The 24,818-nt window shown below is 35.6% G+C and overlaps 2 protein-coding genes across 26 annotated transcripts in view; one reads left to right on the top strand and one right to left on the bottom strand.

Annotated features, from left to right (window-relative positions):
• The window catches only part of C11orf65 (chromosome 11 open reading frame 65), a 161,363-nt gene extending 144,147 nt beyond the window's left edge, over positions 1-17,216 (top strand). For all 11 annotated transcript variants that reach the window (XM_047426461.1, XM_047426467.1, NM_001330368.2 and 8 more), the window contains one exon: positions 16,664-17,216. In XM_047426461.1, coding sequence (XP_047282417.1) covers positions 16,664-16,888 — 225 coding nt within the window. In that variant the 3' untranslated portion in view covers positions 16,889-17,216. The remainder of the gene's footprint in view (positions 1-16,663) is intronic.
• Positions 1-24,818, bottom strand: part of ATM (ATM serine/threonine kinase) — a 146,036-nt gene that overhangs the window by 43,368 nt on the left and 77,850 nt on the right. For all 15 annotated transcript variants that reach the window (XM_011542840.4, XM_047426977.1, XM_006718843.5 and 12 more), the window contains 12 exons: positions 23,946-24,087; positions 22,706-22,882; positions 20,883-21,060; positions 17,751-17,838; positions 15,420-15,575; positions 13,237-13,324; positions 9,824-9,912; positions 9,622-9,724; positions 8,214-8,362; positions 5,677-5,781; positions 4,315-4,434; positions 191-425 (listed from right to left, as the gene is read on the bottom strand). In XM_011542840.4, coding sequence (XP_011541142.1) covers positions 191-425; positions 4,315-4,434; positions 5,677-5,781; positions 8,214-8,362; positions 9,622-9,724; positions 9,824-9,912; positions 13,237-13,324; positions 15,420-15,575; positions 17,751-17,838; positions 20,883-21,060; positions 22,706-22,882; positions 23,946-24,087 — 1,630 coding nt within the window. The remainder of the gene's footprint in view (positions 1-190; positions 426-4,314; positions 4,435-5,676; positions 5,782-8,213; positions 8,363-9,621; positions 9,725-9,823; positions 9,913-13,236; positions 13,325-15,419; positions 15,576-17,750; positions 17,839-20,882; positions 21,061-22,705; positions 22,883-23,945; positions 24,088-24,818) is intronic.

Raw genomic sequence — 24,818 nt, 5'->3', positions numbered from 1 at the left:
AGTACCCTTGCCCAAGGCTTAAAAGTCAGATCTAATTCCAAAATGGGAACTCTTAAACAATTATTTTTACTATATATTAATAGAGATCTCTATCTCTTAATGACATTTCTTTTTCCCTCAGGCTTTCTGTTTTTTAAATAATAAAAGGAAAGTCAAGAGGTAAGATGACATAGTTTTAAATTGTATTTACCTGAGTGTTCTTGAAAGTTCTGGCCAGTATAGAGAGTTCTACAAGGTGTTTGGTGAGAATGTCCTTAATACATTCTCTTTGTGAGTTGTCCATTTCCTTTTCCATCAGGATCTCCAAAATGACTGTGCGTAGAGCCATGATAGGCTCCTGAAAACTAAAATCACTGTCCTTGAGAAGCTGGGAGTGTTTCTGCCACTTAATATATACTTCAGAGAGTTGTCTATGTGTGACTGATCTGAATGCCACGACATAGAGTTCATGTAAGCAAGAGAAATGAAAAAAAAAAAAAAAAAAACTATGTAAGTTCTGGAACTTACGATATAATATTATAATAATACAAAGGAACTTTTGTAGTGACAAGACTAGAACTTGTAAATAATCCTACATATGGATCAAAATTTAGAAAACTACAAAATGCTATGCGGTCAGAGCTCTTAAGAGTTATTAGCAGAGAGGTCACAGATGACAAACATCAAAAAAAATTTTTAATACTCTGACATTACAAAAAGCAGCCCTTCTAAATACTCTTCTGAAACAAGAACATATTCATCAGACCTATCATAAAGAATGCCTCCATCTTTAGTCCTGCTTCAATACTGCCTGTAGTAATGAGGACATGTCAGCAAGGAAATGAGGGACCCCCTACTGGGGATGACTTGATGCATAATTATAGCTGTCAAAAAAATCACAATCCAGTGAAGGAAAAGCTGGCATCTGGCAAAGGTTTCATTTACCAACATTATTAAAGGAACAGAAAAGGCATATTGCACAATTAGTTTATATGAATAGTATCCTTCCCAAATAACTGAACTATGAAATACTACCCAATCCTTCAGGGACATTTATTGAAAGAAATAAGAAAGAGGAAGCAGGGAGAGTAAGATGACAAAGTGATGACTAAGAAATGAAAGCTCTTTTAGTTGCTTGATAGGGAAGGAACAGTAACAAAAATGCTAGGAACCAAAACTTCAATTCCTCTCTAAATGACCCTACCACAGCAGGTCTCAAACTTTTTGCGGAACTCCTTTACAATCAAACAAATTATTGAAGACCCCAAAGAACTTTCGATCGTTGGACCATATCTACTGATATTAGATATGATATCATATTAGAAAGACTGAGAAAAATCTAAAATGTATTAATTTATTCAAAAATAATAAATCTACTATATATCATAAATAACAATTTTTAGGAAAAATAACTACAGTAGTTTCTCTGTATCTGCAGAAAATTGGTTCCAAGACACCTTGATAATGCTGATGTTCAAAGTCCCTTATTTAAAATGGCAGGGCATTTTCCTATTACACGTAACCTCTAGATTGTGCTTTTATTAAACATTTCCAAAAAGTATTACACATAACCTCTAGATTACGTGTAATAGGAGAATGTGCACAGGTTATACATAAATCTCTAATTACATATTATACCTACTATAATGTAAATGCTATGTAAATAAGTGTTATACCCTATTCTTTAAAATTTTTTTTTCAAATATTTTTGATCTGCGGTTGGTTGAATCCATAGATGGAAACCTGTAGATAAAGAATTTCAACTGTATACTTCCCAAAACAAAACAAAACTTAGTGAGCATGGCACTGTTTTGCATTTTTGCAAATCTCTTTAATGTCTGGATTAACAGAACGAGATGAATTCTTATCTCTGCTTCTGCATTTAGTTTGTTATTATTTAATGTTTTGGTTGATGTATATGAATGGAATGTAATCTGAGAGCATAAGCATTTGTGCACCAGTTCATCCAACCTTCCCTCTGCTTCTCTTCTTCCTATTTCTCTACCAAAGAAACAGCCAGATTATTCTTTAGGTGTTTCTTTTTAAAATTTATTTTTAATTTTTATGGATACATAATAGTTGTACATATTTATGAGGTACGTGTGATATTTTGATACAAGCATACAATGTGTAATGATCAAATTTGGGTAATTGAGATATCCATGATCTCAAACATTTATCATTTGTGTTGGAAACATTCCAAATCTTCTTTTGTAGCTATTTAAAAATATACAGTAAATTACTGTTAACTACAGTTGCCCTATTGTGCTATCAAACACTAGATCTTATTTCTTCTATTTACCTGTGTTTTTTCACTCATTAACCAGCCCCTCTTCATCCTCTCCCTCCACAACACCCTTCCCTGCCTCTGGTTACTACCATTCTATTCACTGTTTCTTAAAGAATTCTGTACTCTTTTCAGCAGGATAATCTTTCATTCAGAGGAAAAATTTCTTGATTTCTGGCAGTAAGTACTGCCAATGTACTTATGAATGAAAGCAGAAAAGACTTTTGTTCCTTTATTTTCCTCCTAAGCCACATTAATATGTATGTCTTCTGCTATGTCATTTTGAAAAAACTATTATTATTTTCTTCTGACTCTAAAATTTCCTTCTCTTTTCTACTTCCAAAACATATTCCAAATTTTATTTTTGCATAAAGGTAGAGTGACCTTAGTCATTTATATCCTCTTTCTTCCCTCGTATAATAATAATAGTAATTCAAAATAGCAGGGCTAAAAGGGGCTTTAGAGACCATCGAATACAAATCCCTGACTTTAGAAATGAGGAAACTGAGGACCCAAAACACTTTACTTTGTCATCCTGCCAGACTCAAGGCTGCCCTTACACAACTCTTCCACTTCTTTTATCTAGTAGCAAGGCAGAGATAAAATGACAGTAATGCAATGCAGTGCTAAAACCGAATGGAGTGTAACATGCTGTGCAAAAACATGAGGAAACAATTTTATCTGGGTGGGCCAGGGAAAAAGTTATAAAGAGAAAAGCACTTTTAAGCTGAATTTTTTAAACTTGAATTTTTACAGTGACTATTTTGGAAAATGTTTAATAAAAGCACAATTCTCTAGGGCTAATCAACTTATATCTTGATAAAAGGAAAGAATTTAGATCTACAGCATCCTGAGTAACTATACTATTTCATCTTCCAAAATCCCTGGATCATTTCCCTCTCACCATTATAAGAAGCAATTCCTTCTGAACACCTTTTACAAATTAACTGACATCCACTATCCACTGAATGTTTACTAAACATAATTATCAGTCACCAGAAGAGAAAACATTGGGGGCCGGGCATGGTGGCTAACGCCTGCAATCCCAGCACTTTGGGAGGCTGAAGCGGGTGGATCACCTGAGGTCAGGAGTTCGAGGCCAGGCTGACCAACAAGGCGAAACCCCGTCTCTATTAAAAGTAGAAAAATTAGCCAGGCATTGTCGGGGCACCTATAATCCCAGCTACTCGGGAGGCTGAGGCAGGAGAATCGCTTGAACCTGGGAGGTGGAGACTGCAGTGAGCTGAGATTATACCATGACACTCCAGCCTGGGCAACAGAGCGAGACTTGGTCTCAAAAAAACATAAAAAGAAAAAAAAGAAAACAAAACAAAAACACTAGGTATACAACAATAAACAATAGAATGGTTCCCACTTTTAAGGGAGCTTCTAGTTTAGCAAGGCAGAGATAAAATGACAGTAATACAATGTAGTGCTAAAACTGAATGGAGTGTTATCATGCTATGCAAAAACATGAGGAAACAATTTTATCTTGGTAGGCCAGGGAAAAAGTTATAAAGAGAAAAGCACACTTAAGCTGAATTTTTAAAACTTAAATTTTTACAATGACTATTTTGGAAAATGTTTAATAAAAGCACAATTCACTAGGGCTAATCAACTTATATCTTGATAAAAGGAAAGAAACACACACATTTGGTCTCTACATAGTTTTTTTTTTTTTTGAGACAGAGTCTCGCTCTGTTGCCCAGGCTGGAATCCATGGCGCAATCTCGGCTCACCACAACCTCTGCCTGTTGTGCTGGGTTCAAGCAATTTTCCTGCCTCAGCCTCCTGAATAGCTGAGATTACAGGCGCCCACCACCATACCTGGCTAATTTTTGTATTTTTAGTAGAGATAGGGTTTCACCATGTTGGCCAGGCTGGTCTTGAACTCCTGACCTCAAGTGATCCACCCACTTCAGCCTTCTAAAGTGCTAGGATTACAGGCATGAGCCACCGTGCCCGGCCTATAGTTTTTATTTTTTAAAGTCACTATTGGTAACAGAAAAGCTGCACTTTAGGATAACAAAGTCATACGAATTACATACCTTGAGAAAAGCTCCCCAATGCTTTCCAGCTCTCCAATGGCCTGCAACCTGCTAAGTGTGGGATAGAGCGAATACACAGACTCAAGGCTGCGCTTACACATCTCTTCCACTTCTTTTACTCTAGTAGCAAAAAAGAAAAGACACTCTGAAAATAAAGAAGAGGTTTTCAGGGAAATAAATGTTTAAATTTGTTGTTAAAGAGTTCTCATCATAGGCTTTGCTACTGATCTAATAATACTAACAAGCAACAGTGAATACAAAATAGCAGTGGAAACAAAATACAACTGACCCTTGAACAACACAAATTTAAATGCATGGTCCACTTACACTCAGAGTTTCTCCCACCTTGCCACCCCTGAGATAGCAAGACCAACCCTTCCTCCTTATCCTACTCAACATGAAGGTGGCAAGGATGAAGACCTTTATGATGACCCACTTCCACTTACTAGTAAATATATGTTCTCTTCCTTATAATTTTCAATAACATTTTCTTTTCTCTAGCTTACTTTATTGTAAGAATATGGTATTATAATACTTATACAAAATATGTGTTAATCTACTGCTTATGTTATTGGTAAGGCTTCTGGTTAACAGTAAGCTATTAGTAGTTAAGCTTTTGAGGAGTCAAAGTAATACTCACATTTTCAAATGTGTGAGGAGGAGGGGCTCAGCACTCCTAACCTCCAAGTGGTTCAAGGATCAACTGTAAACCTTGGAATCACACAGACCTAGATCTAAATTGCAGTTCTGTCACTTATAGCTGTGTAACTTTGGGCATGTTACTGGACTTCTCTAAGCCTTTTTTCACATCCATAGTTATTGTCATGATTAGAGAATACATATGAAAAGAGTCTAACAGTGGCTAGCATATCATAGGCACTTAAATGATAGTAAATTTTATTTCTGTGATAAACATAGGATTTATTAAGTCACTACGGCTTTAAAAATGCTGCATTTGTTTACCCCATTATAATTATTTCCTCATGCCTCATCACATTTGTGCCTCAAAACAAGTTTGTAAGTATTAACCGTGAGTTACAATTTTATAAATTAGAACACTAAATGCCATACAATTACCAAAAGAGACAAGATATAATTCTCAGGATACTTGTATAGGAAGAGAACAAAGAGGGAATCACCAAAACTTTCTTGAAGGGTCAGGGTAAAGAATGAACCTGGAATCCCAGAAACAATTTGTTTTGAAGGAGGGCAGAGAATTACAAGGAAACATCTGATCACAGCCACCAAGTCTTTATCTCTTCATCAATGCAAATCCTTACATTAAAATTGTTTCTCAAGTTTTCAGAAAAGAAGCCATGACATTAAATGTTAAAATACAGTAACTTTGTCTTTTCATAATACCTGGCATATTTGAGACTTTCATAAAATGTAGAGAATTCTCTGTCTCTTAGAGATTGTAGAGCATTGTACAATGATTCATGGTAACTGGTTCCTTCTACTTCTTTGCTGTGAGATAAGTCAAAGAAAAAAATATACTTAAAAACAGAACCCTAAGATATACATGTATAAATAGCTTCACCAAAGGACAAAATTTTTAAATTAACATTTCTCCATTCTAAAAAATGCATTTCTAGAATTTTTGGTAAGAAATACAAATTTTATGAGTCATTTAAATTCTTTAAGCAGAAAAAAAGGAAATTACTCAGATACTCTGCCTGGTTCTAAATATGCTCTACTTTCATTTATTTATTCAATAAATACCTATTATGTGCCAGGCACTAGGCACAAGGGGAATTCACAAGTGGACAAGTCAGATCAGGTCTTTACTCTCATGGAATTTATGTGCTGGTTTGGAGGAACAGACAATAAATAAGTATTGGAAAGTAACAAGGGACATGCAGAGAATTAAAACAGGGTAACAAAACAAAATGGCTAGATGGCTATTATAGAATGGGTAATCAAGAAAGGCCTCTCTGAAGATACATTATTATTTAACTAGGGTCCGAATGAAAAGAAGCCACCCGCATGGTAACTGGGGGAAAAGGAGAAGATACATCTAAGGCCCTTGGATAGAAACAGCTTGGCCTGACAAGAAAACACAGAGAGGTCTGTGTAGCTGAAATACAAGAGGAAGGAGAAGAATAGTATATATTGATTTACAGAGGCAAGCAAGAATCAACTCGCACAGGAAAAGGTTTTTAAAATATGAGGATATATCTCTAATTTTATAGCAGTCTTACAGTCTGAAATATTTGAAAGGCATTCCAATAATTATTATTTTTTGAGACAGAGTCTCACTCTGTTGCCTAGGATGGAGTGCAGTGGCATGATCTCGGCTCACTGCAACCTCCACCTCCTGGGCTCAAGGGATCCCCTCACCTCAGCCTCCCAAGCAGCTGGGACTACAGATGCATGCTACCTTGCCCAGCTAACTTTTGTATTTTTTTGTAGAGATGGGGTTTCACCATGTTGCCCAAGCTTGTCTTGAATTCCTAACCTCATGTGATCCACCCTCCTCAGCCTTCCAAAGTGCTGGGATTATAGGCATGAGCCACCGCGCTCGGCCAATAATTTTTTTTTTCTACAAAGGCAACAAAACATACTTAAACATAATTAATTTTTTAGGGTTTACATTATCAAAAAACTTTACATAAATATGAAATCCTTTATTAGATTAGGTGCTTGGCTTTTCATTCAGAAAACATGGTGACCTTATATACAGATTATAAATGTTATCTTCCTGGGTAACTGAGTGTTTTTTTTGTTTTTTTGAGACAGAGTCTCACTCTGTCGCCCAGGCTGGGGTGCAGTGGTGCAATCTTGGCTCACTGCAACCTCTGCTTCCCAAGTTCAAGCATTCTCCTGCCTCAGCCTCCCGAGTAGCTTGGATTACAGGCATGCTCCAGCACACCCAGCTAATTTTTGCATTTTTAGTAGAGATGGAGTTTCACCATGTTGGCCCGGCTGGTCTCAAACTCCTGATCTCAAGTGATCCATCTGCCTCAGCTCTCCAAGTGCTGGGATTACAGGTGTGAGCCACCACACTGTGCCCAGCCCTGAGTAGGCATATTATTTTTTTTATTTTATTTATTTTTTTAGAGACAGAGTCTCGCTCTGTTGTCCAGGCTGGAGTGCAGTGGTGCTATCTCAGCTCACTGCAACCTCCGTCTCCCGTGTTCTAGCAATTCTCCTGCCTCAGGCTCCCAAGTAGCTGGGACTACAGGCGCATGCTGCCACGCCTGGCTAATTTTTTGTATTTTAGTAGAGAAAGGGTTTCACCGTGTTTCCCAGGCTGGTCTCAAACTCCTGAGCTCAGGCGATCCACCCGCCTTGGCCTCCCAAAGTGCTAGGATTATAGGCATGAGCCACCGTGCCTGGCCGTATTATTTTTTAATAAAAGAAAATATTTCATAAATAAAGATAAGCAGTCCTTTGTGGATCCTCCAGCCAATATAAGTGCTATCTTACTGACTAAAATGTTTGTAGCAGGAAGTAGAAAGAGGAATGCCTATACTTTTCTTGGCATGCCTCAGTCCAACAAACTATGCGAGATGATACTCATTTCGAAAACCCTTTTCATATTTCTGTTTTTAGAAATATTTAGGGGTGGGGTGAAGTTGTCCTAATGGAATAAGAGAGTAAAATTCAAGCCTAGGTGCATTAACTGCTTATTGCTATCTTACTGAAGGATTTAGGGCTATCTATAGCTTGCAACATCTACTATATATTTTTTTATATATATATACACACATACACACTATATATATGGTATGTATATATATATAGTGTGTGTGTGTGTGTGTGTGTATATATATATATATATATATATATATATATATATATAAAACAACTCCTGTTATATTCATAGAAGAGAAAAACAGTTGTTGTTTAGAATGAGGAGAGAGGCAAAAAAAAAAAAATCAAGTCAAATTTCTTACCTGACGGAAGTGCAATGGTCCCACTGCATATTCCTCCATGCTGCTTGGTAATGAAGTTCTTCTAGTTCAGGACACCAGTCTTTATTTTCATAATCCAATCCTTTTAAATAGACGGAAAGAATATGGCAGAGTCCCAAATTCTGCAAGGCCTAAACAGGAGTTATTTTGTTTTTAAGTTAAGTAATCAAAGATATCAACAGAAAACCAGAGAAAAAAACAGCAAAGATACAAATTAACTTAGACAAATTTTAGTTCACAATATCATTTAAAATCCCAAAATATCAGCTGGGTGTGGTGGCTCATGCCTGTAATCTCAGCACTTTGGGAGGCTGAGGCAGGAGGATCACTTGAGCCCAGGAGTTTGAGACCAGCCTGGACAACAAACCAAGACCTGTCTCTACAATTTTTTTTTTTTTTTAAAATAGCTGGGTATGGTAGTGTGTACCTGTAGCCCCAGCTACTTGGGTGGCTGAAGCGAGAGGTGCCCTTGAGCCAGGGAGGTCAAGGCTGCAGTGAACTATGATCACGCTAATGCACTCCAGCATCAGTAACAGGGTGACACCTTATCTCTAAAATTTATTTATTTATTTATTTTTGAGATGGAGTCTCGCTCTATTGCCCAGGCTGGAGTGCAGTGGCGCGATCTCGGCTCACTGCAACCTCTGCCTCCCAGGTTCACGCCATTCTCCTGCCTCAGCCTCCCAAGTAGCTGGGCCTACAGGCACCCGCCACCACACCCGGCTAATTTTTTTTTTTTTTTTTTTTTTTGTATTTTTAGTAGAGACGGGGTTTCACCGTGTTAGCCAGGATGGTCTGGACCTCCTGACCTCGTGATCTGCTCGCCTCGGCCTCCCAAAGTGCTGGGATTACAGGCGCAAGCCACCACGCCTGGCCAAAAACATTTTTTTAATCCCAAAATATCGTTTAATGTTTCCCAAAAAACACAAAAATAGAGCTCAAAGGGCTCTAATATTTCATGGAAGAATGGCTAAGGAGTATTAGCCAGTAATAGAAACAACAGGTTCTGGGACCAACTCTGTTGCAAACTATGAGAAATAGTTTACATAAGATTTTCCATGTGAAGCAGTAAGTACACTACCTGGCACATTGTATATGCTCGAGCAATGTCTTCTGTTGTTATCCAACAACACTATGATCAAGAAATCTACACTATCTTTTAGGTCAATGACCTGTCTGACTTTCCTGTGTCTCCCTGAATTTTTTCTCTTTTTTTTGCATCCCTCTGCTTCAGGAGTATCCCTGAATGTTTAGCCTAATCCTCTGAAAAACAGATAAGTTCTAGTCTTATCTCTAGAGTTTATCTGGCTGTGTAAATATCCACCAACATACTGAAATAACCTCAGCACTACACTAGTGATGGCTTTACCAAATCTGGGAAAAAATGTACCTGAATGATTCCTGCCTGGCGTGTTGATGAGGGGATTGCTGTTTCGAGGTCATATGTTACTAGGGCTTTGCCCCACATTGCTTCGTGTTCATATGTTCGTAGTCTATAAGAAAAGATTGTGAAAATAGCTTTGGGTTTTACACACACATAACTCCTTCATAAACAGAATTACTATACCGTTGTTTAGAAAAATGCAATTTACCTAGTAATGGGTTGTAACATCTTCCCTCCACCACAGCCATACAAACTATCTGGCTCCCCTATACTTCTGTAGATTTCTAAGAGAAGATCCTGAAAACATGGAAACAACAAAAATTGAAGAAGGAAAAAAAATCGGTCTATAAATTTAGCAAATTTTAAATTGTATCATTACCAATATGTAACTCCCAACTCTAAATGTTATGTTATAGAAATAAAATGTAATGATTCTGAAATACAGTTCTGAAATACAGTTCAAACAACACGAGTTTGAACTGTGCAGGACAACTTATATGTGGATTTTTTTTTCAATAAATATATTGAAAACTTTTTGGAGGTTTGCCACAATTTGAAAAAATTCACAAACCACACAGTTTAGAACTACTGAAAAATTTTTTAAAAGTTATGTCATGAATGCATAAAATAAATGTACAACTAGTCTACACATTCCATCATTTGTATACATTTGATATGATACATTTCATCATTTACTACCATAAAATATACACAAATCTATTACAAAGAGTTAAAATTTATCAAAACTTACACACACACACTGTACACAGCATTATTTGTGGTTAAGACAAATATAAACAAATGTAAAGATGCAGTATTAAATCATAATTGCATAAGATTAACTATCGTACATATTGTACTATTGTAATAATTTTGCAGCTACCTCAGTTGCTACTGTGGTAAGCATTATTGTGTTGTGAGTATCTGCTTAAAATGCCATGTGACACTAATAATTTCCACATGAGCAGTTCATTTCTCTAGTAAATTGTATCCAGAAATGAAAAGTAATCTCTCCAGGTTCTCATGTATTTTTTCACTGTGTTTACTGCAATACTATAAGCCTTGATTAACACCACAGTGGCTGGAGGTGCTTCCAAGATGCAGAGAAAAGTCATGCCATTACAAGAAAAAGGTGAATTGTTTGATACATTCTGTAGATTGAGGCCTAAAGTACATATCAACCAGCAGTGGTTGCCTACAATTTCAGACAGATGATTCTTTGTAAACAGATGATATAAACTTACGGTATTGATAAACACAGTACAGTTCTGTAAATGCATTTTCTCTTCCTTATCATTTTCTCAATAACATTTTCTTTTCTCAAGCTACTTTATTTAAGAATACAGTATATAATACATATACAAAATTGTGTTGTTTATATCATCGGTAGGGCTTCTGGTCAACAGTAGACTATTAGTAGTTAACTTTTGACTACTAATTTAGTTTTACCCTGATTTTTAATAGCACAGGGGGTTAGCACCTCTAACCCTTACACTGTTCAAGGGTCAACTGTATATACTAATGATTTGGATCAGCAACACAGTAGACTGGTCCTAGACAACAGGAGGACTGTAGTCTACCCGAGAAGAATTGCCTACAATTTCATGAATTAGATAAGAAATAAGTACCGACCTACCAGGCTTATATCACATAAAAAAAAAAAAATCACACAAACAAAACCAAACAATCTTGTCAACACCTAAAACTGTACATGGGCTGGGTGCAGTGGCTCACATCTTTAATCCCAGTACTTTGGGTAGCCAAGGCAGGCAGACTGCTTGAGCTCAGGAATTCAAGATCGGCCTGGGCAACATGGCTAAACCCATCTCTACAAAAATTAGCTGGAGATGGTGGGGCATGCCTGTAGTCCCAGCTACTTGTGAGGCTGAGGTTGGAGGATGGCTTGAGCCTGGGAGGCAGAGCTTGCAGTGTGTTATGACTGCACCACTGCACTCCAGCCTGGGCAACAGAGCCAGATCCTGTCTGGAAAAAAAAACAAAAAAACTGTACATTAGAAAATACAGTCCTACAAAGTCTGACTCTTGAAAACTCAATTTGGTAAGAATAAAGGTCGTGGATTTTTCTTTGAAAAATAGCACAAAACTGTATTGGAATTGGTAAAATTTGATATGGATAAAGTAGTTTGGTTACTGAAATCTTTGTTGTAAAATTTACACAGAAAAGATATATTCTGTTTAAAACAATCTCAGTTAAATAAAAATGAAAACATAAAAAAAATAAAATAGAAAAAACTAGGAACTATACTGCATAGAAAATTGATCAAGCAATTGAACTGCCTATATGGTGCTTGCTCTGTGAAATATTTTCTACACACAAATTCATTTATATTGGCATAATTCTATAGTTCCAACTCAAATGTTTCTATTCATAACGTGAAATCAAGTCCTCAGAGTAGAAAAGTTCAGTACCCATGCTTAGCACAGTGCTTAGTACACACACGATATTCCAAAAACTCAGTAGAGAGGAGGAGCCTATGAAGAAGGCAAAAGTGAAAGGAGAAAAATCAGGAGAGTGGATCAAAAAGGTAAACAGAACACAGTTCAAGCAAGGCATGGTTGATGATGTGAAGTATTAATAAAACATTAAGGAAAAGGAAGAATGAAAGGTGACCACCAGACTTAGCAACATGAAGTTTATGAGAGACATTAGCAAGTGCTATTTTACTGGAATAAATGGAAGGGGGGGAAATGCAGACAGCAAATATGGACAACTCTTTCACAAAGTTTGTCTGTGAGAGGAAGGAAGAGAGAGGGTGATACCTAAAAGAGAACATAGGGAAGAGGGAAATTATTTTGTCTTTGTGAGAAAGGGAATTTTTAAACAGGAGAGGTTTTAAAATGTTCAGAACATAGTTCAGAGGGAGAACAGCATATTAAAAAATAAAGCACCTGAGAAAGAGCAGATAAAAAAACAAAGCACAGGAAGAATTAGTCTCAAATAGAAGGATAAACTGTTTCTGTAACATGACGGAAGATTATTAAAGGAGGAGATGCCAGGAGATTTCAATGTTTGAGAGTGGGATGTGGCGAGATTTCCTCTCTATGCCTTCTATTTTCTCCAAGTAGGAGGCAGGCTGAAAGCAGCGGCATAGAAGAGAAGATGAGAGGTTTAAGCAGAATGGAGAAGCTGAAATTGTCATTGTGGAGGAATGAGTTGACCAAAGAAATTCGGCAAGCATCCCAGACAGTAACATGAGCCAATTTAAGAATGGATATCAAGAAATTTATAGAAGAGGCAATCTGCTTCTTCTGTAACATACAATAAACAAGCAAACAAATAAATATATAATTATAAACCCTAAGTGCTATAAAGGAAATGAACAGGGTGCTATGGCAGAAAATGCATGGCATAAACTCTGAGACAGGTGGTTTTACCTTCGTCTTTCAGATAAGGAACTCAAGAAGTGGCAGAGTCAGTATTAGAACTCAAGTCTGTCTACTCTAAGGCTTAAGCTTCAGACCATAATTTTATATATATGATGCTTAGTCCAGTAAGTAAATTCAGTTTAAAAATCACATGGCATCTGTACAGTGTCTATAACAAAATAACCCAAAGTATGAGATAAATACTGTCATAAATAATAGAGCCTCTAATATTTACCTGTAAACTTATTCCAGTTTCTTCTTTACTTTTTTCACTCAAGCTAGAAATAGTTGTACTCTGGCTTCCTTCTTCAAATGCAAGACTTCTGTTTGTCACAAGAACACCTCTTTTAATGAGAACATACTATTTGGAAGCTCCTGAATACATATACTATAGACTTTGACAGAAAAAAACTAATGAAGGTGGCAAACAAAACAGAATAAATCACTTATACTTTAAAACATAATACCATTTATACCTAGGATGGAAAAGGAATTTGTGAATGAAAATTATATTTTAAGAATAATCTACATATGGGAAGCCTATATGCAAAAATATGATTATTTATAAAGAGATTGGATTGTTTAAAAATAGAGCAGATGCCATCCAATTCAGGTACTATATACTCTGTCAGTGGTTTCACCTGAAATTCAACCCAATCAATAATTACAGACACACAAATAAAGACCACAATAAGACAGAATTTAATACTTAACAGATATAAATTTAAGACATCTGATATTAACTATTGAAAAGGAAGTAGATCAGTAGGATCCACTTAAACCAAGACTATAAAACTAGAAAGTTTGACAGTCAGGATTAGAACTCAGATTTGCCTACTTCAAGGCCTTAACTTTATGCATTTTATACATATAACATTCAGTTCTGTAAGTAACTTCAATTCTAAAACCATGACAGCTGTGGTGTCTATAACAGTAATAATCTAGTACATAAAATAAATACTATCATAAGTGATACTGCCTCTAATATTTACCTATATACATATTCCAGTTTCTTAATTTTTTTTTTTTTGTTTATGAGATAGGGTCTCGCTCTGTCGCCTAGGCTGGAGTGCAGTGGCACAATCATGGCTCACTGCAGCCTCTCCCTCCTGGGCTCAAGCGATCCTCCTCCCTCAGCCTCCTGAGTTGCTGGGACTACATGTGCAGGCCACTATGCCCAGCTGATTTATTTTTATTTTTAGTAGAGCTGAGGTCTCACTATGTTGCCCAAGCTGGTCTCAGTCTCCTGGTCACAAGTAATCCTCTCACTTTGGCCTCCCAAAGTGCTGGGATTACATGCGTGAGCCACTGTGCCCAACCTTCTTTACTTTTTTAACTAAACTAGGAACAGTTATACTTTGGCACCCTTCTTCAAATATAAGGCTTCCTACCGATCCACTTCCTTATCAACTACATTTCTGTACACAAATGGGTATAACCGCTTTAAAAAACAATTTGGGACCAGGTGCAGCGGCTCATGCTTGTAATCCCAGCACTTTGAAAGGCTGAGGTGGGAGGACTGCTTGAACGTAGGAGCTTGGGACCAGCCTGAGCAACATAGCAAGATCTTGTCTCTATTAAAAATAAAAATTAAAAAAAATGAGTTGGATGCAGTGGTGTGTGCCTATAGTCCCAGCTACTTGGAGGCTGAGGCAGGAGGATCACTTGAGCCCGGAAGATCAAGGCTACAGTGAGCTATGATCGCACCACTGCACCACAGCCTGGGCGAAATAATGAGACCCAGGCCATTTCAAACGAACAAACATTTGAAAAGAGCAGTTGGGATAATAAAGTGTTTTACTTTATTTTTTACTCTTACTTTCTTATTTTTTGTTCTTCCCCATGATCTAGGAGTATATTTATTAGATTCTTATGACAGTTCTAACTCAGTCAGAGGAAAGCGAATTAAATTCACTAGAAATATAGGTAGATAAAGAAATGAAACTTAATTAGTCACAGAAATAAATCAGTCACATTATAGCCATTTTGGATTATAATTTTGGATATTTTATATCCAAAATGAATCTTGAATAGTTTAGAAATTAGTGGTAAATCTAATCTGACTGAAGTTAGGAAATAATTTAATCATTTGAAAAATATTTATCACCCTTAAATTAAGTTCTCAATGCTAGGGCTATTATGGGGAATATACAGAAAATTAAGTATGGACTCTGTCCTATAGGAATTTGCTATCTGTTAAATTTTTATAATACCTAAGTAATAAGCATTCCTATTATTTCAGAACAGGAATTACATATTCCTTTTTAAAAATTTATTATAATTTCACTTTAAAACAAAATTTCTATCTAAAATATCTTTTAAATGGGGAACAGGAGGCAAAATAAATCTTTACTATATACCCTTATTGAGACAATGCCAACATTAATTTTAAAAACCAAAAATTCTAAATTCCATTACCTTTTCTCTTGATCATCCATACTTTTCTTATCTGCATAGATTTCTGCATAGAGTAAAGCTGTAAAGTGAGCAGCACAAGACTGAGCTACCTTGGCAACTTCTAGATAATTTAAATCCAGCCAGAAAGCATCATTAAAAATTGTTCCTGAAGAAGGTCTAAAGAAAAATGAGATATAATGTCATTCACTTTTTTAAACTTCAATATCAAAATAAAAGCATGTTGATATAGAATACAATGGTAGTGACTGCTTAACAGAAAATTACAAATTCCCAAAAACCACATTTCCCCAATATATACCTATAAACATTATAAGATAACATGGCTGAAGAGTCCTATTTAATTAATCTTTTTGGTTTTTCTTTTTTCCCTCAAACCTATCAGAGAATCTGATAAAACCTGTAGACTATCACCTGATACAAAATTGGGGTTCATATCTGCTCTCTACCAAGAAATCCATGTACCACAGACTAAGAATAGGATACACAGAATAGCTAATACAAATGCACACAAGCACCCCCCAACACACACTTTAAAACAGTCAATTTAATAAAAAATATTGTTTCATCTAAGACACAAATACATGTCTTTCCTATTGTGACTTATTTTCTCCTTAATGTATTGCCTAGGTTGAGTTACTTAATAAAAATCTTCCACTGTGTTAATAGGTAGGTCAAGATTGAAAGGGACCATAGATAGTATCTTTTTCAAAACTAGCATTGTAGAGATGGGACATGGTAGTGCTTAAGAGCACTAGTGTTGAAGTACAATACAGGTAGGTTCAAATCTAGCTATATTGCCTACTACCAGCTGTGTGATCTTCAGCAACTTAACTTCTTAAACCTCAGTTTCCTAGTTTCCTTACTTGCAAATGCTGGAACAACATGGACCTTGGAGAATGGGTGCAACAATTAAATAATGCCTGCAAAGCTGATGAATAAGGCACACCCTACTACACAGCAAGCACTCAACTAAAGTTAATTTTCCGATGAATGTTAAGTTCAGAGAAGTGAAATAATTTCCCCATGGAAAGGAAGACACTACAGACATTATTCTGATTTTGAAAGATGATAAGACTGAGGTTCAAAGACAGCAAGCAATTTTTTTGTTGTTGTTGTTTTATTGTTGTTCTTTGTTTTTGCCCAACATACTGTACAGGATAACAAGTAATTTTTACACAGCACAAGCTTGGACTTGAATGCATGTCTTTACCCGTTTTTCTATATCCCATTCATACTTTCTCCAGGAATATTCTTCAGGATCTTATTCAGCATTAAAATGGAATATGAAGAATTTTTATCTTCTCCAACTCCTGCTAATGTCAACACCATTCTACCCCAATGGTAAGTCTGAAATGAATGACTCAAAGGTAAAACTGCCTCCCAACACCAAGAAAACAAATGCTCTCCACTACATTAAAGCTTCTGATAGGCCTCCTCAGAAGATAATCTGGTATAAAACTCTAAGGTAAAATAACCAGAAGCAAAGACACTGAAAAGCATAAAACTTCTTTTTCTACTAGAGAAGAAGAATGGTTTAAGACTACATAGGAATTAATTTTTTAAGATATTAATGCATTTAGGCTTAAAAACATTTCATTTTTCACTCACCTCTCCCTCTCATTCTTTACCAACCACCCCTACCACCACCATACACACTTATGAGACATCGATTCCTACCTATTCAAATTATAGGCCTACTACACTATTTCTTCAGAGTTCTGGTCAACTCTCAAGCAGTACTCATCAGTCAGACCATCCATTCTAGCAATTTCTGTATGCACTGTTAAAAATCTCATGAGAAATAACAGGAACAAAGATACTATACTATAAAACAATTTACCAGAAACAAGAAAATAAACATTGTCACAGCACAGTATTGCCACAGATTTTGAGACCACTGCACACAGTAAAGAAACTTACATCTTAAAATAAAGATACATAAAGAAGACATTTACACAACTCTATTTACTTCTTAGAACTAAAGCAAAGAGAAAAGTAAAAAGAGGGGTAATACAGCTAAATGTAACTTGGAAAAACACTTGCTCCTATCCCTAACATAGATGAAATAAATTGGAGCCAAGAAGGCTGCATAATTTAACAAAGGTAACATGGTTACTGGTACAGCTGGTACTAGAATTGAGAGTTCTTGACACTGATTTAACCAAACTGCTATCCTGAATATGGATTACTGCAAGGAGATATAAATATCACACAAATTAAATATAACACTTTGCAACACCTTCACCTAAAATAATCATGTTAAAATTCAGCCGATAGTTAACAAGTTACACTCTAGATCCTAAACGTAAGAAGCAACACTCATTACATTACCTCTTTTGTCTTCTCATGTAGTCCACAACAGCAAGCATTGTTCTTTGTGATTTTTTATCCAAACAGCATCGGAAAAAGTGCTCTGACTCTGACAAACAAAAATATCTCCCCTCAGTCCCAGGCATTCTTGCTTACACACCTTCTTCCTTCTTGTTTATGTGTCTGTCTCCCACTATGCTATAAGGTTCTGGTGGGCAGTACCTAACACAAAATTGGTTCTGAAGGAATTTAATAGGATTTCTTTTGCTTTTAAAAGAAACTGTTATCTTAAAAAAAGTGAGAACTTACATTGTAATTTATATTTTATTTCAAAGGAGGACTAATTAATTGATTCAATAAGATCTTTTATGTGCTAGGTCCTCAGTATATAAGCATGAACAAGACAGATCATGTCAGACCACACAGAACTCACTGACTAGCCTGGGACATTACAACACAATATGATAAGTGTTATAATAGGAAAGTTTAAAATGCTACAGAAGCTTAGCAGAGGGAACCTCACCTAGACAAGAAAAGTTTCATAGAAAAAGTGATACTGGCCAAGTGCAATGGCTCATGCCTGTAATCCCAGCACTTTGGGAGGCTGATGCGGACGGATCACTTGAGGCCAAGTTTGAGACCAGCCTGGCCAACATGGTGAAACCCTATCTCTATTAAAAACACAAAAATTAGCAGGGCATGCTGGCACACATCTGTAATCCCAGCTATTCAGGAGGCTGAGGCACGGGAATTGCTTGATCCTGAGGGGCAGAGGTTGCAGTGAGCCGAGATTGCACCACTGCACTCCAGCCTGGGTGACACAGCGAGACTCTGTCTCAAGAGAAAAAAAGAAAAAAAAAAAAGAAAAAAGAAAAAGTGATATCTGAAAGAAGAGTAATAGTCATCAGAGCAGGAAAGGATAGTGCTACAGGCAATAATAATAATATCTGAGATGGCTGGAAGCAAGAAATAACTTGGAAAATTTAATGAAAGAATTTCAACTGTGCTAAATCATGGAGCTAGAAAGCAGTAAGGATGCTAAGGGCAGAGAGAAACAAATGGACTAAGTTATTCATAATATGGAATTGGCAAGATTTGGTAATCAGATGAAATACGTGAGAGAGGTTTCTAGAGTAAGCAACTGAGTGCCATTTGTCAAAAAGGTACACATTTAAAAAAGTAGGCTGGGGGAAGGGATGAAGAAGATGACACGTTTGCTTTTGGACAGCTGAGTTTGAGATGCACATGGGACGTTTAGTGAAGGCAATGAGGCTTATAGCCATCAGAAAAGATACACCATTTAAATTTTACAAAAATATGTATTTCCTTTTCAATAACAGAATTTTATATGTGAAGTTTAAATTTTCACTTAAGGTAATAAAAATATTGGCACTGTATACAGATAAAATAAAACAGTTACTTTACCTTCCAATGGTTGTGACATAAATACATAAGTGATAAACATGAAAAAAGTCTTGGCCATGTTCATGATAACAAATTACCAGATTATCATAAACAATGATTACCTTAAACTATGTAATAAAAATTGTTTTTAATAGTACTGTAAATTACATATTAAAGTTTTAAATGCTTAAATCACTTATACCTGTATTTTCCCAATTAAAGATAAGAGATACATTTTAGATAGTTTACAAAGCCTCTATGAGAATTTTTATTTTAGGATTTTCATTTCAGTGGCCTAAGGAAAATTCATATAAGCACATTCTAGATCATTTAGAGAACAGCCTATAATCTAGTAGGATCACAGGATGGGCATCTATGTCTATGTTTATAATTTATATTTTTCCAAATAGTAGATTTGTAATTGCTGTTAGCCAACAGAAAATAAAATACATAAAATATAAAGCATAGCAAACTGAAGTCTAAATGACATTAGAGTCATGTCAAATGAAGGTTGTAGCAGTAAAACTAAAAGAAACAATTGGAAGAACTGAGTAATCACAACCTTTGCTGAAGTGACTGGAAGGATTGGGAGGAGCAGATTAGTTGTGGCAAAATATCACATTAAATCAACATTTGTATTAGAATTGATTGGTCTTTAAGTACAACAAGTGAATTTGCACCTAGCTTTATGTTTGCATATAAAACACATTAATAATATATAATAAAGACAGTTAACAATAAAGATCTGTGAATTTTGTATCCTTTTATAAAATTTAGGTTTAAAAAACTGACCCATAATGAGCCTTCAAGCATGCATATATGTATTATACATACCCAACCCTTGGTGGAATTTCTTTTGCTATTATGCTCTTGGCATGAGAAATACCCATTATATGTCATAGAAGGAAAGTAGGTTATAAGAGTAAATAAAGTACAGTTCAATTTTTGTTTTAAACAATTAGAAGGATATACACTAAATGTTAATTATAGTTATACAAAGGGTTTTTTTTCTTTTTTTAGACAGTCTCGCTGTGTCGTTCAGTCTGGAATGCAGTGGTGTAATCTTGGCTAGTGAGCCTCAGGAGCCTCTACCTCCTGAGTTCAAGTGATTCTCCTGCCTCAGCCTCCCAAGTAGCTGCAATTATAGGCGCCTGCCACCATGCCCGGCTAATTTTTGTATTTTTAGTAGGGACGGGGTTTCACCACGTTGGCCAGGCTGGTCTTGAACTCCTGACCTGAAGTGATCCACCAACCTTGGCATCCCAAAGTGCTGGCATTACAGGCGTGAGCCACTGTGCCCGGCCAAAGGCTGCTTTTTAAATTGAGTTGGCCAGAGCTCTGAAAATATGAAAATTCTATCGTATCTGCACCACAGTACCTAAAATATCTGATTGTGTTTGTTTTTTCCATTGCTAGAATGTGGGTGTTTCTTTTTCACATTAATATTGCCAGTGCAAGCACAGTGCCTGACACATATTGAAAGCTCAATTAGTTGACCCATTATCAATAGCCAAAATGTACTGAGGGAATACTATACATCAAGTACTATCCTAGGCACTTTACACACATTATTTCATTGAAAACTTGTTGCAACTGTTGGCAACTTTTATCTCCATTCCATAGATGAAGAAACAAATTTAGAGGTTATAGATTTAATCCTGTAAAGTGCTTTTAGTGGGATTCCATCTTAAATCCATCTTTCTCTAGAACTGAGTTTACAGTATTAATGTTAAAAATTTAATAGAATACCTGAATCCAAGTTTGCAGGGGTTGTGGATCGGCTCGTTTGCGAGAAGTGTCGAAGACAGCTGGTGAAAAATCCCTGAACATGTGTAGAAAGCAGATTTCTCCATGATTCATTTGTATCTTGGAGTAAAATATCATGAATCAAGTATGGAAGTACAGTCTGACAAAAGTCAGTTTTCACCTAGAATATACAAACAAATCCACCCAATAGTTTGAGTAAAAATGAGTAAAATTAATACATTTTACTTAAAATTTTCATGCCCCGTTGACATATTAAATTTCTAAAAGATGATAGATTAATCTGCCATAAACTCAACATACTGCTAAAAAAACAAACAAAAAACATGTATTAGGTGGTGTTTAAAAAACCACACTAGGCTAGTATATCAATATCAAATATATATGTTAGTGACACTGTAACTGTTTATTTCCAGTCTAGGCCATTACCATAATGAAACAGAATATTGCTTACAAATGAAATTATATCACCACTTTAAATACAATTTCAGAGTTGAAAAGCGTTAGTAACAGAAGGAGTTTTCTGATATGATAGAAGAGGGAAAAAGGTATCAAAAGTTTAAGACAAAAGTTGGAAATCTGATTTTTATGCATTTTCTAACCTCAGTGAAGAACTACAACAGTCATGTTAAAAATGTTTATTTTTTAATAAGCCCAACTTCTGGGCATAAAATTTGGGTAATTATTTGTGGTATATTCCAAAGAGCAGAAAAGTGCTCCAATACATCTGGCACATTAAAACAGTATTCAGCTTTACTTTTGCTATTCACCGCACTCCATATTTAACATATGAATGAATCATTACACTCCATATCCATCATATTCATCATACTTCACACACATAAGACAGGTTATAGATTACTAATTGCACCCTTTTTCTTTTTCAAACCAAAGACAAGGCAAAACACCAGTTTTAGAGCTAGAGAATTTAAAGTACCACAAATGGGGTGTGTACATATGTATATTTGGAACATTTTATTTTCTGGCTCAAAGGTAAAACTTTATAAAAATCTTAGCTTTGTTCACTAATGAGAAATAAGCTGTATGTGTGTTCAGGGTACCACTCTGCTGAATTGGTATGAGTGCGGTGTAGTATTGCAGAGAAGGTGATGTTTTATTCACTGTCACTACTTTTTCTGTAGAAAATAAGAACTGCTTCTTACATTGCTTTCAATGTGAGTACATTACGAAAATACTTCTCTATCAGTTATCTGTAATCAGCAGATGTTTGACCTCATCAGATGTTGTATTTTCACATTTCTGTTGAATCACATTTGACAGTGCTATAAATTAACTCTGTAAATCTTAGAGCATCATAGTATGCTGTTTTAGATTACACATTTGATGGAAGAGTACAAACTTTGTTTCATTTGGTATGTACCTTTACTCTTCGTTGAGATAAATTGTACTATATCCTCAAAAATAAAAAAGCTATGCTGATTGCTGCCCCACTCCTTTTTCTTATTCAAGAAAGCATATCAGGGAAAATAAAGGTGCTCTTATCAGAAGACGTAAACAAAGTTAGAACAGGCTCTTGGTTAATGCAAATAATTTATAATCAGCAGTATTTTAACTATCATTAGTAACAAATTATTCAAGGCACCCCTTAGAACTCCTCTAGTATGTTGCTATCCCGAAGCTGAAACCTAATGCATAAAGTTATGACTAAATACGGATGCTCACTTTAATAAATTTACAACAGTTTGAGTGGGGGTGATATTATGTGAAGATGATGTGCAGTATCACAGCACTCTTTAGATAAACAGGTCATAAACAAGGAATTATATCAGACTAATTAATCTTCTTACTTCACACATTGGCTTTAATAATTGAAGAATTTCACATTTTGTGCCTCCACTGTCCAAAAAAGCACAAGTCAGTGTCTTTATCCAAATGTCATGATTTTCACTTAGAGGAATCCACAGATTTATATCATCCAGGCCTTCAAAAGGGTTTTCTTTGTCAAATCTGGGTACTTCTAAAAACTAGAAAGAAAGGGATTAGAAAATGTAAATAAGAGAAGTGGAAATCATTGTACCTTTCCTACACAAAATGAGTATAACAAATCTTTCTGAATAAAGCTAAATACAGTTAAAACTAAATCTGGAGGCAATGTTTACCTTTTAAGATGAAAACATTTATGTTTATACAAGAGGCAGAGTGGTATGGCAAAAACTGCTGCTTTAGGCAGCAGAAAAATTAGGTTCTACTCTCAGCTCTGTCACTCATTAGTAGCATATTACACAAATCACAAACTCTGACTCATCTGTCTCTTGAACAAAACTAGACCACATCTACCACAGAGACTTGATTTCAAAATGAAATGAGATTTTAAAATGTTAGAATTATAATGCCTTCCAGGTTATATTATTAGTTTCATTAACAGTTTATATTACCAGTAATTTTACTAACACTAAAATTATATTTATGATGCACTGAAAGTACTGCTTCAATGTTGGGTTTCTGCCCTGAAATTAAATTGGTGAAAACTAAACTGTGTATTTCTCAGTCACTTTATGAAAAGAAGATAGTAAAGAGGAATGCTTAGACTAAGGAAGGAACAAGTGTTCTTAAACATGCTTCACAGAATACTTACAGTGGAACCTTATTACGATATCAACATGGAAAAAGGGAGAAATCTATGGGTCTTCCTATATTTCACCAGGGGATTGTGATATGTTAACTTGACATGGAAATAAACACTTGTGGATCACAATAACTATAAACCATACCCAGAGCTAACAGCTTTCATGGGAGCAAAGTAGCGCTTTCTATTTCTAAAAAAACAAGGTCTGTCTTTAAGAATTTCCCCTCCCCCAAAAATCAACTACTATTTCCTCAGGTTACCTATCTGAGCTTTTCCACACTGCCATAATAAATTAAAAATAACACATTCCCTGGATTTATGAAATATGGCTTAAATTACTTATAGGAAAGGTTAATAGTTAGTACAATACTATTTCAAGCAATTTAACAGTCATGACCCACAGCAAACAGAACTGTTTTAGATATGCTGGGTATTCAATAAACATTTATTACTTAAGAGACCTTTTTTCTTGATGTTCTAAAAGGCTGTAGATAGGCCAGCATTGGATCTGTTGTCATCTTATAAATCTCCCAGAAACTATGTCCAGTCTTTGTGGCTAAAATGTTTTTCAAACAGGTAACAGCTGCTGATCGAACTTTGACACTGAAAAAAACAATTCAAATGCCTATCAAGTACACCAGTTATTAATCTTGATGAATGTTAACCTCCACTGAAAAAATTTCAAAACTAAAATTTAAAATTTGTATTAGGAAACTTTACATTTACAAAATTCTCCAATATCAAATAAAAGTATCAAAGGACTTTCACTAGTCATTCAGTAAACTTGAATTACTAATCACTGCAACTGCAATTCCCTTCATTCAATACAGTTTAATTGTGACTACTATAAATTAAAAAGACTCAAGAAATACTTGAAAATAATATGTTCTAATACATATAAGTAATAAAAATTCTGGGAATCCTTTTGTCCACATCTTCATATGCTAAAGTCCCTTGAAGATCTAAAGTTTTTCCCTGTTAAAGAAAAATACAAAAAACTTGTACCTGCTTCCTAGTATTCTTAAGTTGAAGTCACACTAATATTTCTGTGCATCTGTTTCAGAAAAACCAATTTCGAATTACTATGAAATGAATGAAACATTTAATGCTCGCAAATTTTCTGTGGCACTCTCTTCAAAAACTGTGCTTGATATACCTTGATATACATTTAAAAAATGAGATGAACTGGCTGAGTGTGGTGTGGCTCAAGCACATAAACTTTGCACATTAGGAGGCTGAGGCAGGAGGACTGCTTGAGCCCAAGAATTTGGGGTTACAGTCAGCTATGATCTATGATGTATTATCATGCCACTGCGCTCCAGCCTGGGTGATAG

Source organism: Homo sapiens, chromosome 11, assembly GCF_000001405.40.
Source record: "Homo sapiens chromosome 11, GRCh38.p14 Primary Assembly".
In the NCBI taxonomy this organism is placed as follows: domain Eukaryota; kingdom Metazoa; phylum Chordata; class Mammalia; order Primates; family Hominidae; genus Homo; species Homo sapiens.
The sequence above is the reverse complement of the archived record's forward strand: the minus strand, read 5'-3'. Positions and strand labels throughout refer to the sequence as shown.